This window comes from Homo sapiens, chromosome 4, assembly GCF_000001405.40.
Source record: "Homo sapiens chromosome 4, GRCh38.p14 Primary Assembly".
Lineage (NCBI taxonomy): Eukaryota > Metazoa > Chordata > Mammalia > Primates > Hominidae > Homo > Homo sapiens.
The window spans coordinates 186748997-186768899 of NC_000004.12; the positions used below are offsets into that span (position 1 = coordinate 186748997).

General features: G+C 41.8%; 1 long non-coding RNA gene across 1 annotated transcript, besides 3 other annotated features; it reads right to left on the reverse strand.

Moving 5' to 3' along the window:
* Positions 359–860: an enhancer, noted in NCBI's record as "H3K4me1 hESC enhancer chr4:187670509-187671010 (GRCh37/hg19 assembly coordinates)". NCBI's record gives its function as "activates a minimal SCP1, AML or CMV promoter by ChIP-STARR-seq in naive H9 embryonic stem cells {active_cell/tissue: H9 hESC(naive)}" and the evidence as "EXISTENCE:reporter gene assay evidence [ECO:0000049][PMID:30033119]".
* Positions 861–1360: an enhancer, noted in NCBI's record as "H3K4me1 hESC enhancer chr4:187671011-187671510 (GRCh37/hg19 assembly coordinates)". NCBI's record gives its function as "activates a minimal SCP1, AML or CMV promoter by ChIP-STARR-seq in naive H9 embryonic stem cells {active_cell/tissue: H9 hESC(naive)}" and the evidence as "EXISTENCE:reporter gene assay evidence [ECO:0000049][PMID:30033119]".
* Positions 9767–10671, reverse strand: LOC124900875 (uncharacterized). Its single transcript, XR_007058500.1, has 2 exons — positions 10425–10671; positions 9767–10011 (listed from the first exon to the last, which is right to left on the reverse strand). It is a non-coding gene; the product is annotated as an uncharacterized LOC124900875 (long non-coding RNA).
* Positions 18313–18480: a silencer, noted in NCBI's record as "fragment chr4:187688463-187688630 (GRCh37/hg19 assembly coordinates)". NCBI's record gives its function as "represses an EF-1alpha promoter that drives an FKBP-Casp9 reporter gene in an ReSE screen in phorbol 12-myristate 13-acetate-treated (for megakaryocytic differentiation) K562 erythroleukemia cells {active_cell/tissue: K562(+PMA)}" and the evidence as "EXISTENCE:reporter gene assay evidence [ECO:0000049][PMID:32094911]".

A 19903-nucleotide genomic window follows, 5' to 3' on the forward strand; every position in this document is an offset into this window, starting at 1 on the left:
TAACACTATCTATAAATTGATTTGTGCACGTGCTATAAACTTTGGTGAATCTGTTAAGAGGAGAGCAAACCAGTTACAGAGTTACCCTGCTGAGCCCTGGATTCTGAGTTTTATTTAAGAGTGAATTATGTAAAGGATTTCTTTGCAGCTGTGCCAAGAGCATTGCATTCCCTGGTTTGGAAGCTTTCTGTCAAAAGTGTGCACCATAACTCTTCTGTTCAAGGTGTTGGGTATGAAAATGCAAAGCTTAGGAGAGCATTGTTTTGTCAGCTGATGTCTTTCAAACTGAAATTATTGTAACAATAATGATTTTACGGGTTTTTAAGGAAGGTATTTGTGTGCTCTTAACTGAAAATGTGTTGTGGCTATTTATTGAAATGTTAATATATATTTATCATTAAAACTTAAAACTTACATGCTAACTTTTTATTGAGGGGTGTGTGTGTGTGGGTGTGGGTGTGTGTGGTGTAACCCCAGGGAAGCAAAAATGAGGATAAAAGAAAAAAGAGGCAAAGAAGAAGGGAAGCAAATATATAAGAGTACATCGCTGACCAGCCGGAATTCTTCTAGAAAACGCAGCTGGCTGCCAGGTCAGCAGGGATATCATCTGAGAGGTGACATGAAATCATTGCGTCCTGGAACAATGTTAGCAAGAAGGAAGGGTAAATAATCGGCCAGCCCCTTCCTGTCTCTCTTCCCCCACTGGTCAAAGTTTGCCTCACTTCCTGCTTCTCTTGCTGGGGCCCTTTGGGCAGCCTGACTAATAGAGCCTCAGTATGCCAAGCACACGAGTGTGCAGGTGCAAATTACGGCCCCCCGGCAGCAGCCTGCAGCATGTAGGCAGCCAGGTGAGCAGGTGCGCTCTAGTGATGACCTACAAACTCCAGGTGGGAGGACAGGCCTACAGTCCGAGGCATGAAATGAGGTGCTTGGATCATGCCAGGAGTGACTTAGAGGACTGGAAGCAGCTGCTTCAATGTGCCTGACCGATAAGTAGGAGTGTCCTAGAACTACTGGCCTCCACCACGAAGAGGGTGATGAAACTTAATGAGCTTTCTTAACCAAAGCTCCCTGTAGCTGTGGTCAGTGCCAGCTGGCCTTCCCAGTGGGTCTTCAACAGCACTGAGCAAAAGACAACGGCCAAGCCAATCCAGGGAGGCACACACCGAGAGCAGACGGTGTACGACATGATACTCGGTCATCTTATCATGCCAGAAAGAAAGGAGGCTGCCAAACTTGGGTCGTGTCAAAAGGACACAAGAGCCAATTTGAGAACTCCTGTTGGTCAAAAATGGGGCAATTTCAGCAGCAAAGAGAATGCGTGCAGTGGATTACGACATATCAAATATGTGAAATAAAAATTCAGGAGACAATAGTGATATTCCAAAAAATGAATTGAAGATAAAACTTTAGAAAGGGAAAAAAAGGCATCTATCTTGCCTTCCCTGTACTTTCTTTCAGGAAAACCAGATAGTGGATGGGCAAAATTCTCTCCTTGTAATAGAATCCCAGTTTACAAATGCAGGAGGAATGAGAGCCTCTTTGAAACATTAGGTAAAAGGTTGAAGAGAAACCTTATAACGGTGGGGCAGTCTGACAACACCTGAGCCCACTGATGAATCTTGTCCCTAAAAGGGGGATAGACAGCTGCACATAGGATGTCCTACCTCCTATGAGGTATTAAAGCCTGAAGACTGAGCCTGAATCTAACTAAGCATCTTGATCCACCAGTTGATAGAAAATGTGAGGGATCGAGGAACATATCAATTGACTCACTAAGGATACAGTCTCCCAAACTCAGAATAAGGGAAATCCTAAGAGACAAAATAACCCATTTTTGAACAAAGGCATAGAGAAAAATGGGAATAGGTGAAAGGGGAGGGGAGAAAGTAAAATATTTAAGGAGAGTTAGAAAACAAACTGAATACAATGTTAGGATCTTGTTTGGATTTTGATTCAAACCAATTTTTAAATATGTTTTAAAGAAAATTTGGAAGAACAACACCAATTAAATGTTACATGTATTAAAGATTTATTGCTAACTTTGTCAAGTGTGATAATGACATTGTGATTATCTATTTTCTTTATGAGATGAAATCTCGCTCTGTTGCCCAGGCTGGAGTGCAGTGGTGCGATCTCAGGTCACTGCAACCTCTGCCTCCCAGGTTCAAGCAATTCTCCTACCTCAGCCTCCCGAGTAGCTGGGATTACAGGCACCCACACCACACCTGGCTAATTTTGGTGTTTTTAGTAGAGATGGGGTTTTACCATGTTGGCCAGGCTGGTCTCGAACTCCTGACCTCAGGTGATCCGCCCACCTCGGCCTCCCAAAGTGCTGGTGTTACAAGCACGAGCCACCGCGCCCAGCCCTTTTTTAAGTCTATATCTGTTAGATATACACACTGATGAACTTATGGACAAAATGATATGATGACTGGGATTTACTTTTAAAAATTTAGAAGTGGGCAAAAAAGTGGGGAGGAATAAATGAGAAAATATGGACAAATGTTGGTAGTTTGTTGAAGTTGGGTGAGAATACATGGCATTCATTATGTAGTACTGTCTACTTTTGTGAATGTTTGAAAATGTCCATAATCAAAGGTTAAAAAATTAAAATACATGAACAAATTCTTTTTAAGCCAACAAAACAAGCTTCCCCAGCGGGTTTTGATTAATCAAATAGCCTTGGGACCCAGGTAGAGAGGACCTCAGAACAAAGCAGAGGTGAGTGCAGAGAAGCTGGTACTACCCTCTGCGCCTAGCAACCCTCTTCCCCAAAATCTCAGCCCCTCTACTCTCAGCTGCTTTTCCACTCCCAGATTTCTATGTAGGGTTCACAATCTCAGGGATGGGCCAATGGTACAGAGGAATTCAGGACGCAGGAGAACCTGTTCGATATTACAGCTTGTAGATCTATTAAAATTCCTCTGCAGATTTGGGAAAAAGATTAATGAGTGTTCATATTTAGCTCTGTTTCCATGAGAAAGCCTGTGGAAAAACATTTTTAAAAGCACCTATAGTAGCTAATCCAGAAAATAAATCAAATTAGTCACTGTCGAGGGCTTGTATTATAGTCTAAAATAAGAGAAACTTTTTGATGAGTGGCTAGCTTGGGGGTAGAACTTTGTGGTGTATTTTACGGCACAAAGTTTACTATTATTTCAAAGTTAGTTTAGCTTCTACCCTAGGATAATATTTTGCAAATAGCACCAAGCTGGACGTCCTGAGACCCGGGTTTTGATTTTAGACCTCCCGCTGATAAGCTGTGTGACTTTCTTCAAGTTACTCTCTCTGGGGGTTAATTTTCTCATTTCTAAACAGAAGGAGGACTAGATATTTGAGGTTCTTCCAGCTCTAATATCCTATTTGTCTATGAATAAAAATGTATTTACTCATTTGCACGCAGTATTTCATTTACACCTACAGACTCAGGCATGAAATGAGGTGCTCGGGTCAGGCCGGGAGTGACTTAGCGGACTGGAGGCAGCTGCTTCGATGTGCCTGACCGACCAAGTAGGAGTGTCCTAGAACTATTCATTTACACCTTTGCATGCACTGTTTCATTTACACCTAACAACAACATGATGATATAAGAAACTTTATTATTCACACTTGGCAGACACAGAAACTGAGAATTAGGAAGAAGGGGTAATCTGACAAAGAGATTCTCAATAGATGTTGAAAAATGAAAGTTTAGGTGTGGCCCAATTTTGATTCTCCATGGAAATATCCAGCCATGGACTTTTCACATGTGCTGTAGAGTTTGTTAGTAGTTGAGGCCCAAAGATTTTGAAGTCTTTTAAAACTCTGAAACATTAGGAAAGTTTGGTTTCTCTAAATGTTATGAAAATTTTGCATCTCAATACAAGCCATTTATAACAGATAAGAACATTTCTACAAAACAGATTCTTTCCAGCTGGATTCGTGTATGTATGCATGTAAGTCCGTCTCCTAAAATTTCAAGGGCAGTAATGAATCAATAGTATGTCTTAAATCTGAGATGTCTGATAAAACACAGAAAGATATATACATTCTAAAATATCAAGTTGATTAACAAATATTTAGTGAGCATACCACTATGGACTTTTTTGTTCCAAATGAATTTGAGTCTTTAATGTGGTTCAAGAGCTACCTGGATGGGATCAGAATCAGTTCCCATCTATGTGCCCCAGGACAGAGCCTGATCCCTACCTGATTTCCAAGGCCATGGCCCTATTAGACCACACACAATGCAGATTCTGTAATTAGTATCTTGGCATTTATGAGAAAGTTCACAATGTCAAACTGTATGTGGGGCATGACACAGAATCTTAACAGGTACTTGGTGAGTAAACATTGAATGAAAGCTAACATGAAAATATTCTCCTTTTGAAAAAACATAGACAAGTTTAAGGCCATTTCAGCAAGCGAGATTTCAGGTGGCAATAAATGATGTTAATTATAAGGGCAAAAATACATGGTTGTTCATGGTTTTTCTCGTGCCCAACCAGTCCTGCGCTTTCTTAAGATTAAATTTTCAATTTCCTCGTGACAAAGAAAGTACTGATACTAGTTTTTTACTTTATACTTTTTTTTTTTTTTTTTTTTTTTGAGACGGAGTTTCGCTGTTTTCACCGAGGCTGGAGTACAATGGTGCGATCTCGACTCACTGCAACCTCCACCTCCTGGGTTCAAGAGATTCTCCTGCCTCAGCCCCCCGAGTAGCTGGGATTACAGGCACCATGTCCAGCTAATTTTTGTATTTTCAGTAGAGAAAGGGTTTCATCATGCTGGCCAGGCTGGTCTCGAACTCCTGACTTCAGGTGATCCACCCGCCTTGGTCTCCCAAAGTGCAGAGATTACAGGCATGAGCCACCGCGCCCAGCCTACTTTATACTTTTAAAAGCACTTTGATTATATCTCATTGGATTCGTGTATGTTTTTCTTTTTGTACAGAAAAACTGGAATGGATTTTTTATATAAGTTATTGAAAGACATTTTCATGTAAACATTGACTTAAATTTTATGTGGAGATGAACAACTCGTTTTGTTTTTGTTTTCCTTTTTGTTTCTGCAATAGTATCTTCTGGCTAAAAAGAATAGTTGCTTTTACAAGTAACAAAAGAAATGAAAGTATACTTTGGAGGCAGCTGTCACTTACACATTTTTTGAGGAGTCCAGGTTGTTGGCTAAAAAGATATTTTTTGGGGAAAACTACTTTTACACAAATGCTGCCTATTTAGGTCTAAATGCTGTGATGAAATGGAGAACTTTGAGAACTAAAAGACATGCCACCCTGTTTTAAGTTGTATGACCAGGAAAATAAGCCTTTACCAAACTGTTTTTCTGATTCACAGTGCATTTTAATAAGCATAATTCAGTTGTCCAGTTCTCAGCAGCACCAAAGAGACAGCAACACTGTAGGTGGCTGATTAATATTTTATGTTTATCTTTAGTAACTAACCATGTCAATATGTGAGGATGTTCTGAAAGAAAAAACATATTCAAAACAGACTTCCTTTGCTATGCAATTTCTTTGGGGTATTTTATTTTTAAGAGTGTTTATGTTAAAGCTTTTAAAATGTTGTACAATGTATCCAAATAGTAGTAGTAACTCACATTTAATAAACTTTATATAAAAGTGTAAGGATGGAAAATTACTGGCTCAACAACTGTTTAGGGAAAGTTTCTTTCCTATTATCACCTGCTATATTGCAAATATCTTTTTGAGTATTATTTAAATTTTTTAACCTTAATATACTTTTGAATAAACTAGCTGAGTCCAGGTCATTGCCTTTTACATTTCTCAGAGTTTTTCCAGATTTTCCTTTATGTTGGCAATAATCATGTTATTTTCTTTCTTTTGTAGTATCATGTACCACTAATATATATTTTCCCAACTCCTCACAAAGAGCTAGGTGTATCAAAGCTTCATTTTTCTGGTCATACATATTATTTAGTAGAAGGTTTTATCTTTCTTAAAGGAAGGAATGTCAGTCAAAATCATCATGTAGATGATTCTCACGAACTCATTAAAGAGAGAGACCATATTTTATAAATATTTATAAAATATTTAAGACATTTAACAACTGATAAGGCTCAGGCACCAACCAAGCAGAACAGACACTGGCCATAAAGCTGAACAAAGTGTGCAGGCTCACTCAGGGGCATACAAGAACACGTCAGTGGCTCGTATGGAGAAAGTGGGAGGGGCGGAACCCAGGGAGAGGCCACGGCGGGGTGGGGACACTGGCAGGGACCCCATAATCATGACTGGATTCCTGCGTTTCTTAAACGTGGTGCTACTGACATTTTGGGGAGCGTTATCGCTCTTTGCTGTTGGGGGCTGCTGTCCTGATGTAGGATGTTTAGGAATCTCTCTGGCTTCTACCCACTAGTTGCCATTTTCACTTCCCCCTCAGTTATGACAACCAAAAAATGTCACCAGATATTTTCAAATGTCTCCTGGGAAGTAAAATCACCCTAGTTGAGAACCACTGTGATATACCCTCTGGGGCAGCAATATTTCCATATTCTAACAGCCGTTACATTCCTACCATCACCAACAGGGTCTTGAACTGTTGCCTGCTTTACAGAGCTTAGTAAAGATTTGTCAAATAAATGAATGATTCTTGTAGTCAGTCAACATACTGGGAATAACCTTTTAGGAAAGGTTGACTCATAAATTATCTCTTGTACTTGGAGTGTGGGTACATCTCGATTTATGACTACGCAGGTGTTTGGTGAGAGACCCTTCAACCTATTGACCACAAAGCTTGACACCCTGGGAGCCTCTGAAGCATGAAGCCTAGAGCTCATTGCTTGCAGCTCGTCTCACTTTGTACATGCTCCTTAGTTCAATCCATCTACTCTCATGGTTTTTACTTGTATGCAGATAAATTCTATCCTTGTATCTCTATCCCTCAACCCCTGTCTGAACTTAAGCTGCAGATCTACTGGCCCTGTGTATATATTTACCTTACACACAACATGCAGAGAACTGAACTCAGCTTTGGTCTGCCTCCACTGCCATAGGGCAAGCTTCACTTCCTGTCTTGTCTAACTGAATTAGATAATTATTACCTCATCCTTGGTGGTAATCTGGGTAACTCTTTGTCCTGCAACTCCTACATGCGCATAATAGTCACAAAGTCCAGTGAACTTAACCACCAATAGTTTGGATTTCTTTCCCTCTTCCTTGCTTTCTGTTCCCTGGACTAATTCTAGGCTCCTGACTGGTCTTCCATAGTGTGTTCTGTCTCAAATCCAAACCTCACATGCTTCCACCATCATCTATCAAAACAGCAACACCATATTGAAATGCTTCTGTTTTCCAAGGGGTAAAATCTACATTCCTTGGCGCGCCTTTCTAGGTCCTCCACAACCTGGCCTCTGCTCAGTGGAGGAGCCTCCACACTGGCATTTCATGCTCCGGCAATTTTTTTTTTTCTAATTAAAGTTCTGGGATACATGTGCAGAATGTGCAGCTTTGTTACGTAGGTATACATGTGCCATGGTGGTTTGCTGCACCCATCAACCTGTCATCTACATTAGGTATTTCTCCTAATGCTCTCCCTCCCCTCTCTACCCTCCAACAGGCCCTGGTGTGTGATCTTCCCCTCCCTGTGTCCATGTGTTCTCATCGTTCAACTCCCACTTATAAGTGAGAACATGCGGTGTTTGGTTTTCTGTCCCTGTGTTTGCTGAGGATGATGGTTTCCAGCTTCATCCATGTCCCTGCAAATGATATGAACTCATCTTTTTTATGGCTGCATAGTATTCCATGGTATATATGTGGCACATTTTCTTTGTGCAGTCTATCATTGATGGGCATTTGGGTTGGTTCCAAGTCTTTGCTATTGTGGATAGTGCATGCTTCAGCAATTCCGAACAGCTATTAATACGCTGTTACCATCGACCTGCTCCTCTGACCTGGAACACCCTCTTCACCCTGTGTCATCTAATCAACTCCTCATCCTTCCATGCAGGTGACACCTCTTCTGGGAAGCTTTGTCTGCCTTGTTTATCCTGGGTCCAGGAGTGCTCTCATTGGTGGCACTCTGGGCCTTCCTTGAGGAAGCATTATCACCCTAGGGTGAATGATCTGTTTAACTGTTATGTGGTTTGTCTCCAGGGCAGAGATTATGTCCTATTCATCTTTATATCCTTAATTCCAGCCATAGTTGCTCAGTAGATGATGCTGATGTGATCTCAATTTTGGGGTAAAATTAGATGTATATACAGACACAGAAAAAATGACTGGAAGGATACCCAGGTAACATGACTGGATAGTTACAACGTTTTACTGGAACTTTCTCCCACTTTGGCCACAAAAAGTATCAGTGTGAGGTTTACTCACATTACTATATTACATAAGGAAATAAAGCTGCTTTTCAAATTTTGGGGTAGGCTGGAAAGGAGTGGGGTCATGGGGGAGAAGGAAAGCACAAAGACCATGAGTTTTGCTAATTGTAAGACATTAATCCAGGACTCTCCAAACCTACAGCCCAATTTCTACTGAGAATTTTTTTTTTTTTTTTGTAGAGATAGAGTCTATGTTGCCCAGGCTGGTCTTGCATTCCTGGCCTCAAGCAATCCTCCAGCCTTGGCCTCCCAAAGTCCTTACAGTTGTGAGCCACTGTGCCTGGTCCTACTGAGAACATTTTGAAAAGCAGAATTGAAATCCAATTATAACAGCTCCTCTTACTTCCTTTGTAAATTACGAACATGCCCATCCCTCTTTCCTCACCACTTCATCACCACCATGTCCCCTCCTCTCTGCAAAACTTATTGAAATAACAATTACATTTTGTAATTTTCCTTTCCTGTTGCTTTCAGGACTCAAGCTCTGTTGAGGACATGAGGCCAGCAGATGGGCATAGTTTTAAAGAAGTTATAGTATTCGAATTGAAATTCCCTACTCTGTTAATTACGGCCCTGAAGACTTTTTGTCACAAATGCAAAATTTCACAACCACCTGACATTAAGAATGTTGATACTCAGGCCCTCGTGCAGCTGCTTGCTCATGAGGCCAACAGATGGGCATACTATTTAAAAAAAAAAAAAAAAAAGGGCTGCAATGCCGAGGTTGGAATTCTCAAATCCAGGCACTGAGGCTCTTAAAGCTCAGTGCACGGTCAGGAGTTGCACTGCCTCATGGTCCTTTGGGACCCTTCCTGCCCGCCCCGCTCTGCACCTGGAGCCACTGGGCGAAGCGTGTTAAAAAGCCACAGCTGACTTAATTCATGTGTTATGGGAGACATTCCTGGGGTTGGCTTATTACCGTGATCCTAACCCTCTCCTGGTGCGATTCGAAAAGAACACTTAGGAAGGGGAACAAAGACAGTAAGACAATAGTGTGGAAAAACACATAATAATCCTACTTTTTTCTTTTTCTTTTTTTTTTTTTTTTGAGACGGAGTCTTACTCTGTTACTCTGGCTGCTGCACAGTGGCATGATCCTGGATCACTGCAACTTTTGCCTCCCGGGTTCAAGCGATTCTCCTGCCTCAGCCTCCTGAGTAGCTGGGACTACAGGCACGTGCCACCACGCCTGGCTAATTTTTGTATTTTTAGTAGGGATGGAGTTTCACCATGTTGGTCAGGCTGGTCTCTAACGCCTGACCTCAAGTGATACACCTGCCTCGGCCTCCCAAAGTGCTGGGATTACAGGGGTGAGCCACCGTGCCCGGCCTTAATCCTACTTTCATATTGTTACTGCCCCATGGGAAATCAAATGTACAAATCAGCAAGGATCTATTTTATAGTCAGTCAACAAACAACAACATAAGCACTACAGACTCTTTTATTTACAACAGTCTTTCAAAAGAAACCTTTCTTCTGCATCCACGTGCAAGTTAAGTAAGCTTGAGGAACATCATCAAGAATGGGATGGTGAATATATGAATAGAATAGCTGCAACCTCACGTCAGTTGAATTTAATCAGTAGAGCAGCTGTGTCCCGTCTTCGGTACCATGGTGTGGGGGTGTATTAGTCTTGTTTTCATGCTGCTGATAAAGACATACCGGAGACTGGGAAGAAAAAGAAGTTTAATTGGACTTACAGTTCCACGTGGCTGGGGAGGCCTCAGAATCATGGCGGGAGGCGAAAGGCGTTTCTTACGCAGCAGCAGCAAGAGAAAATAAGGAGCAAGCAAACGTGGAAACTCCCGATAAACCCATTAGATCTCGTGAGACGTATTCACTCTCGCGAGAATAACGCGGGAAAGACCCACCCCCATGATTCAACTACCTCCCTCTGGGTCCTTCCCACAATATGGGGGAATTCTGGGGGACACGATTCAAGTTGACATTTGAATGGGGACACAGCCAAACCATATCAGGGGGAATGGGCATGACTCAAGTTCAAATCTTTTCTCCAGTAGGGTATTTATTAGCCATGTGACTTTAGGTACATCACTTCTCCTGAGCCCCCGTTTACTCACACGTAAAACTGGAGAAATAGGAACCACCTCACAGGCCTTGTTGAGCTGAAACATTTGAGTTTAACTGGCGCCTCCTGACGCTGGTTCAGTTTGCTCATCATTGGTGCGCGCTGTGTCCCGTGAGCCTGCGCTCCGCCCTCGGGCCCTTCCGGGCCGCTTGCTTTTCATCTTCCCTGTGGGACTCGCCCAGAGACGCCTTCACGCAGCTCCGCGTCATCTGTGATTCTGTAGCTTCGGGGATCCTCTTGTAAACTGTAAGGGTGTTTTAGATGTCTATCATTTATTTTTATTTTCTGTTTAGAAGGAAATGACATACAAAAAACTATGGTTTGCATTTCACTTATTTATACATGGATCCATTTCCTTGCCCAACACACTGATATTAAATTTTTATGGGAGTAAAAAAAAAAAAAAAAAAAACAACTAGCTATGAAGAAAGTCCAAAGATATTGAGACGAATACGGAAATATTTATTGAGCATTGCATTGATATTAATTGGGACTTCAAAACATATCGACAAAAAGAACCTCCTCACAGCTTCCACACGAAAGCGGGCCTATCTGCCAAACGCTTCCAGTGTTTGTGGGTGGCTGCGTGCAGATTGCTTTAGTTAATAGGGAATTTAGTGCAGTGAAGGAGGGAAAAAAGACATTTCGGTAAATCTTTTGTTCTTACTGATTCTAGAACAAGCTGCAGCAAGCCCTACCAGTCGTCTCCAAGCCTGGACGTATACTTGGCTAGGACAGAGAATCACTTCCTCGCCTTCCCTTAGTCACCCGCCGAGGGGGCTGTGGGGTTAGCTCAGAGGGCCTAGTTTAAGGAAAGGAGCTCAGAATCCGTTGCCGTCCATTCTTGTGGACTCAATACCAACAAGATCTGCTCTCTGGACACAACGCTTCTCATGGGGAGTTCATGACACTGGTGCCTCTTCAATCCATTTTGCCCCTAGAGAGTAGACTACTAAATAAAACTCTCTAGATTCTATAAAAATCGAAGCCTTATAAAAAATAATGGTTGTTTACAAACACCTTCTTACTCCTATTGAACAAACACTCCTGTGCAGGTCTGATGTTTCAACAATTTTGAAGGCTACAAACTAGTCTCTGGGTCCCTACCCTTTATTATTATTATTTTATTTACCCGCTACCTACTCCAGGGCACACAACCCCCATTCCACCACCCTACAGCCCCCGTGTGTCTGTGTTCACCACTGCTGTTAAATGCTGGCTCCTGGGTGCACGCTGAATCCAGCGGTGTGTAACCTAATTTGAATTTTAAAGTCAAAGGGGATCTGAGATACTCAAGTATCATGCATGAGGTTGGAATTGTGAAATGGAGGGTTTTTCCGTTTGTTGCTGGCATGTGAAGCACTAGCAAGCTGGTATGAGAAAGCATTTTATACTGGGATGGAGCGGAGGAGGGGTGGGAAAATAGGATCTTCTGACTAATGAAATGACTAAATACAGATTTTCTAAACGTTGGAATGCATGGTTGGATGAACTGAATTGTTCTGAGGAGATGATGGAATTGAATGAAAACTTAGGATTGATGTTTTTTTGAAAATGCAGAATGCATGGTGCTGGAATGTGACATACCCAGGTTTGTCCCATCATCATTCCAAAAGGCACCACTGCAAACGATGTGAGTTCCTTCTTCCCTACATTATACATCTGGTTTCTTTCTCCCCATCTTCCCTTCTCGACAACTTCTATCAGCTTTGGCCACACACTCATCCAGAACTAAAACAACGCAAGCACTGAAGTACATTTTCTTGGTTGTAAAGAAAAGCTTGTTCTGAATTTGGCACAGTGACCTCCATATGTGCTACCTTTATTCATACATTCTATGTATAATACTAATCATATATTGTGTGTTATAAGAAAAGGCTTTCTTTGAGATCTCCACCTGAAACCGATTGTAAAATATTACGTCATATTCAAGTGCATTCCCCTTGGGTATACCCATGCCTTGCAGGGCCTCAGATTCAGCAAGTGACAGAGATAGAGATTTGTTTCTCTAATTGTCCGTTCACGGGTTGAGGCAATAACAACAACACTAACCAAATAAAAGCTAGCAGTGTTGAAGGCTTTCCAGATAGCAGGCATTGTGCTAAGCACTTTATATGGATGAATTTATTTAATCCGCATGACATTTAATCTGCATGACAATCCCAGAGGGATGGTACTAATAGTCTACTCATAAGAGATATGCACTGAAGCCTGTGCCAGTCTTAAACTTGCCTAGGAAGGTGCCAGATTATGTGTTGGGTCTTTGCCTGAGTCCAAGAACAGTTTCTAGGCAACCAAATGCCAATGTCAGTCCTCATAGGGATCCTTACCAAAGTTTGACCCAGGGGCCTGAGGCCAGCATGGATTTGCCAGAGAGTTGATTAAATCCTATTCATGGGAGCTGAACACTTCCTTTATTAAGAATAATGGATTAAAGCAAGAAAACAAGGAAAGTTAAATTAGATCTAAAAGTCTCATAAAATAAATAATGAGCATGAACCATTGAAGGCCAAACATGTCATAATTAATACTAAATAAGTATTGGCAACACATTTCTGAAGTATGCTTTGTTTTAGTATCCACCTTAATTGATTCAATTTAGCACTTCACTTAACATTTGCTTTTTAAATTTTTTATTTTTTTGAGTTGGGTTCTCACTCTGTCACCCAGGCTGGAGTGCAGTGGTACAGTCACGGCTCACTGCAGCCTTGACCTCCCGGGCTCAAGTGATTCTCCCACCTCAGCCACCCAAGTAGCTGGAACTACAGGCACATGCCACCATGCCCAGCTAATTTTTGTGTTTTTTGTAGAGATAGAGTTTGACCATGTTGCCCAAGCTGGCCAACTCCTGGGCTCAAGCAATTCATCTGCATAGGCCTCCCAAAGTGCTGGGATTACAGGCATAAGCTATAATGCCCAGCCTTAATTTCTAAAATAAGAAGTGAATTGATGTGCTGAGGACTTGTTCTAATGATTGTTTTCACTTAGCTTTTTGCTATTAAAAGCTAACCCATTAAACAAAGTATTTAGTGAAGAGCATGAACTACAGATTTTATCATAAACTGAACTGCCTGAATTTCCTTATGCATTTGAAAACTGTACTGCTGCTGTAAAAGCTATGTGTTTTGACCTTGGCTAATCTGGTCTCTACTTGCACAACTTTGCTCAGTAGGAGAATTCAGCCTTGGTTAGTGAGGCGTATGGATTTAGGTGATGGCTCACAGACTTTGACTCAGATGATTGAGCAGATACAGGTGCAATTCAGAATTATGGATTGAAGTGAGCAAGGATTTGTTAAAAACTTTCAAACTTCGAAGGTGAAGATTTGGCTTTCACTCATCATTGCTAAATAACAAATTTCTCCTTAGCAAAAACATATTGAGTGATAATTTTGGTTGATATCTATCACCAGCCTCGCCTCACCTTCTACCTGTCCAAAAGTCCTTTGAAGTCTGCAAAGTAAAAAAAAAAATGAAGAAAAACTGGCCAATTGTGAATCATTATTTAATTATTCATGAGGTATATAGAGTATGTCAAAGAAAGAGATTAAAAATGTTTGCTGTATTCTGCCTGAGAGACAAGTATTATCCTGGGGGAATATTTGTCATCAGATAGAGAATATAAAACAGCAGGAGTCATATATTGTGGAGCACGGAAAGGAAAGGGAGGTAAATTTTGTCTCTTATGGACTGAGCGACACTTGGAGACATGCCATCAAACAGAGGGCTAGCAAATGTCACATAGAACCCGAAGATCACAGTGGATTATTAGCATCTGCCCTTTTGGATTGTTCCCTGACATCCGCAATGTTTGCAAAGGCAAAACTTCTACTTGCAGGTGAACATGAAACTCCCACTGTTTAAGTTTAGGGCATTATAAATATTACAAGGTCTACTTTAACAAGAATAAGATATGGTACAAGGAGCTAATCTTGGTAGCACCCACTGAGAGGCTAGCCTACATTTTGACTTTAGCAAACTTGCTAGCATTGGGTCGTGGAGAAATGAAATAGGGTTAGTGTTCTAATCTTAATAACTATTTTAATAATAGTGATGACCTGCACTAATTGGGTGCTCACTATGTTTCAAGTAGGAGTGTAGCAGTAGAAGGGTCTATGGACCTGGACATTGTGGAACCTCCTATAAAGAGTCTGGGAGACCAGAAAATAAAGTATAAAAAATAATAGCATGGAGCAACTTGACTCCCAGCCTGCTTATAGGAAGCAAGAGGTCTAACTATTTCAACTATGTCACAAATTTTCATAGGGTAGTTACAGATTATAATGTGTTTCAAAAGAAAAGAAAGTTTTGAAATCCAAAATAATTGCATATTGACTTAATCACTAATCTTGATTAAAATTTCATTTAAACTGTGCTATTTCAGCCAGGCGCGATGGCTTACGCCTGTAATCCTAGCACTTTGGGAGACCGAGTTCGGCGGATCACTTGGGGTCAGGAGTTTGAGACCAGCCTGGCCAACATGGTGAAACCCTGTCTCTACTAAAATTACAAAAATTAGCTGGGTGTGGTGTCGGGCACCTGTAATCCCAGCTACTTGGGAGGCTGAGGCAGGAGAATGGCTTGAACCCGGGAGCTGGAGTTTGTAGTGAGCTGAGATTGCACCATTGCACTCCAGCCTGGGCGACAGAGCGAGACTGTGTCTCAAATAAATAAATAAATAAAATATATAAATTTATAAATTTATAAATAAATAAATGAACAAACAAACTATGTGATTTCCATTTCAGGTATGGTCCCACTCTCTCTGTGTGATTTGTAAACAATAAGCTTCTGAGTACTGATAATTTGATGTTGATGGGCTGAACAAAATTAGCATTTTGGTCCCTAATTAGAAAAATGAACACCTGCAAGAAGGAGAATGGAAATGAATTGTTAGATTCTCATTTCCAGAGAATATAATTGTTTAGGGGAGAAAAATATCCAAAGGTAATGGTTACGAATCAATGTTTGGTAGGTTCTGAATTGTTTTTGAATCTTATCTTTAGGGTATTATCTGAATGAGTGTTCTTTTTAAAACAAGTAATGGTAAAAATAAAAATACTGAAAAACTTTCAGCCCAGGCAGAGAGGGAGGGGCTTTCATTTTGTCACAGTATTTTTTTGTTTTTTGTTTTGGGACAGGGTCTTGCTCTGTCGCCCAGGCTAGAGAGCACTGGTGTGATCATAGCTCATTGTAGCCTTGACCTCCTGGGCTCAAACGATCCTCCTGTCTCAGCCTCCTACCATCATGTCTGGCTACTTTTTTTTTTTTTTGGTAGATACAGGGTCTCACTATGTTGCCCAGCCTGGTCTAGAACTAAGTTCAAGCAATCCTCTTGTCTCGGTTTCCCAAAGTGCCGGGATTATGGGTTTGAGCCACCATGCCTGGTTGCAGCATTTTAAAACAGCCTAGATGTATTCTCTTAATCAAGTAGAGGAAGAAAGGGTGCCATTAGAAAAAGAGGCATCAACGCAGAGGTCCGTAATTATTATGAAATGGCTCTCCCTCAAAACTTAGCAGAAAAAAAATTACAAGCAGTAATCACTTGTAAATTATTTATGTTTTCTAATGTGCTCTAACTTTCCATTTCTGTGCTTATAAACTTTGCTTTTACAATCCGTTTGTGTTTGTGACTGAGTTACAGAATAATGAATAGATATTATTGTGCAAGTGGCGTGGACTATCATAAGCTATCCTTTGGTTATTGTTGGCATGCTACGACGTTTTTAAGAAAGGGGGAAAAGTCTCAGTGGATAAAGTTGTACGTGTTTGATGTCCTGTTGTTGCCTAGGGCTTTAGCAACCCTGAGTGTGCCCAGTTGCCAGCACATTTGGATTCCTGAGGGGTTCTTAGCAGTGGCTAGTGGTAGTCATTGCATCTGCCAACTTTCTGAAAGCGGATGTGGCCGGTGAATGTGGGTGCGGCCAGTGAATGTGGGTGTGGCTGATCTGGCCATGGCTCTGCCTCAGATCTCCAATCATGCAGACAGATGTGCCTGAGGCATCGATCGAGGAGGGGGCTGCAAAAAGGAGCTGCAAATGTTGGTGTTTTTATGTAGTTTATGTTCCATTCCATCTCACCCCATGTAAGCCAGGAGAGAGGGCCGTTTCCTACTCTCGTAAATTTAAGTTCTTTTCCTTTTAGAAAAAGAACATATTTTGAGCTACCTTTTATGTAGCTGGTGCAGATATTTTAAAAAATGTAATATACCAGAAGCAGTATTTTTCCTGGTATTAATGATTAGTATGAATCACTACATGATTGAGGGAACACCATAGCCTGTTTATTCATCTTGGAGACTGTCAGGGCTGAACTGGGCTAATCATGTTTGCTTTTTGCAGCCCCGTGGTGTGGTTAGCCTTTTGTCTTCCTTGTAATGTGCTAGGGTTTGCTTGCGGCCTGTGTCCCGTCCTCCCTGCAGACAGCTGAATGACAGGCCTTCACCAGCGCTCTCTGTATGCCCTGCACTGTAACCTGATTGGCCAGGAGCCTAATGGGAAATGGCCTTCAACCTCTGCACCTACGTTCATGAAAAGCCATTGCTCTTACATAATCAAAGTGCTCAGGCTCTCGCTGATGAATCCAGAGACTAACCACGTAATCTAGAAGAAATTCATCTTTGTCCCCAAGGCTCCCAGCATTTGGCAATTATTGAACAGGTGGTAGATACTTCCTCTGTTGACAGGAACAAAAGGCAAAGGGCCTGCCTAGGAGGTTGAGGAGCTATTAAGGAATGCTGCCCCAGGACAACTCTCTAGCAGCAGCAGTGAAAGAGCAGGAAGACCCTTGCTAAATCAGTGACTGGGAACACTCGCATTTACCATCCCAGAGATCAGATCCTGTTAGGGAGCAGCTAGCAGGATTCCAGCTTATCTGGTCCTTTCTCACCCGGCTACTGCCTTGATTCTTACCCGCTACCCTGTGGGGAGGGGTGGCGGGGTGGGTTGGCTGATGTGATCTTAGAGTTATTTACCTAGATGGGGAGAGGCTCTTAAAACATATCTACAATGCGGCGGAGTGCGGTGGCTCACGTCTGTAATCCCAGCACTTTGGGAGGCCGAGGCGGACAGATCACCTAAGGTTAGGAGTTCGAGACCAGCCTGACCAACATGGTGAAACCCTGTCTCGACTAAAAATACAAAAATTAGCCATCGTGGTGGCTCATGCCTGTAATCCCAGCTACTCAGGATGCTGAGGCAGGAGAATTGCTTGAACCCGGGAGGTGGAGGTTGCAGTGAGCCAAGATTGTGCCCTTGCACTCCAGCCTGGGCAACAGAGCAAAACTCTGTCTCAAAACAAAACAAAACAAAACATATCTATAATGCCTAAGATTCCACAGGTCAGGGATGTAGTCAACCCTGTGGTATAGAAAATTGTGACCTTGAGAAGCCTCCTATTGTTCACCTAATGGTTTAGGGATATTTGAGAGGCCAACTTTTATTGTACATAGACTTGAATCATTAAATGGTAGTGTTAGAACTAGAAAACCAGAGACAATTCAATCACTTTAGCTTTAGTTCCTGACCAGAAAAATCACTTGGCCTGGCAATCCGCATGAGTTTTGCTGTTGTTTTTGCTAAGAAGCCTGTGGTGACAGCACCACGCAGGTCATCTCACTTAATCCGATAGATCTTATTCATCAGGAATAAATAAAGGATCTTATTTATTCCCATTTACAAATGTGGCACCCGAGAAAAAACTTTGACTTTCTCTTGTGTAAAGGCCCATGCTCCTTCCACTACTGTGAAGGCTCTTGTCTTGAATGAGGGAGACGATAAGATAGAAATATATTGAGATTTTCTTTTCCCTTTTGATACAGGGTCTCGCTCTGTCGCCCATGCTGGAGGGCAAGTGGTGCAATCACAGCTCACTGCAGCCTCAACCTCCCAGGCTCAAGGGATCCTCCCACCTCAGCCTTCCCAGTAGCTGGGACAGCAGGCATGTGCTACTATGCCTGGCTAATTAAAATATATGTATACATATATTTTTGCAGAGATGCAGTCTCATTATGTTGCCCAGGCTGGTCTCGAATTCCTGAGCTCAAGTGATCCTCCCACCTTGGCCTCCCAAAGTGCTGGGATTACAGGTGTGAGCCACTGCACCCAGCCTGTTTTTTCTTTAAAATTATCCAGATTTTTATTTTAATCTGGTTCCGTCTACAGAAAAATATGATCTGCTGCCCTCATTTTCTCCTCCCCACTCCCCATAGATCCACTGCGCAGAGCTAGTCCCCGCGTTAGGGGGCCTCCACTTCAGGAATGTTACTCCTCGCAATCTCGTATTTGCAGCATTTTCATGGCTGTTTCTCAGCAGAACTCGACTCCTAAAATGAATTACATAGCCAGCTTACGGTCCTTCGAAAGCTATACATGTGCTAAAATTAATATGTAAGAAGGTGATTATATAGAAACTTAGCTGATGCTATTGGATGGGATTAATATTGCAGAATGTTTCTTGTTCCCTCAAAATTTGTTCTCCCCTTTGTTTACAGTAATCCAGCTTAGCCAAAGGGCAGCCTGGCCTCACTGGGGCCACATTTCCCATCAGCTGCCAGCCAGGTTTGATCACGTGACTGTGTTCTTACTCTTGGGATGTGAGTGGAAGTAATGGGCGAAACTGCTCTATCCCTTGTCCGGAAAGAAATTGCTTGCCCTCTCAGGCAGGAGAAGGAAATAAAGGGTATTCAATTAGGAAAAGAGGAAGTCAAATTGTCCCTGTTTGCAGATGACATGATTGTATATCTAGAAAACCCCATCGTCTCAGCCCAAAATCTCCTTAAGCTGATAAGCAACTTCAGCAAAGTCTCAGGATACAAAATCAATGTGCAAAAATCACAAGCATTCTTATACACCAATAACAGACAAACAGAGAGCCAAATAATGAGTGAACTCCCATTCACAATCGCTTCAAAGAGAATAAAATACCTAGGAATCCAGTTTACAAGGGACGTGAAGGACCTCTTCAAGGAGAACTACAAACCACTGCTCAATGAAATAAAAGAGGATACAAACAAATGGAAGAACATTCCGTGCTCATGGGTAGGAAGAATCAATATCGTGAAAATGGCCATACTGCCCAAGGTAATTTATAGATTCAATGCCATCCCCATCAAGCTACCAATGACTTTCTTCACAGAATTGGAAAAAACTACTTTAAAGTTCATATGGAACCAAAAAAGAGCCCACATCGCCAAGTCAATCCTAAGCCAAAAGAACAAACCTGGAGGCATCACGCTACCTGACTTCAAACTATACTACAAAGCTACAGTAACCAAAACAGCATGATACTGGTACCAAAACAGAGATATAGACCAATGGAACAGAACAGAGCCCTCAGAAATAACGCCACATATCTACAACTATCTGATCTTTGAGAAACCTGAGAAAAACAAGCAGTGGGGAAATGATTCCCTATTTAATAAATGGTGCTGGGAAAACTGGCTAGCCATATGTAGAAAGCTGAAACTGGATCA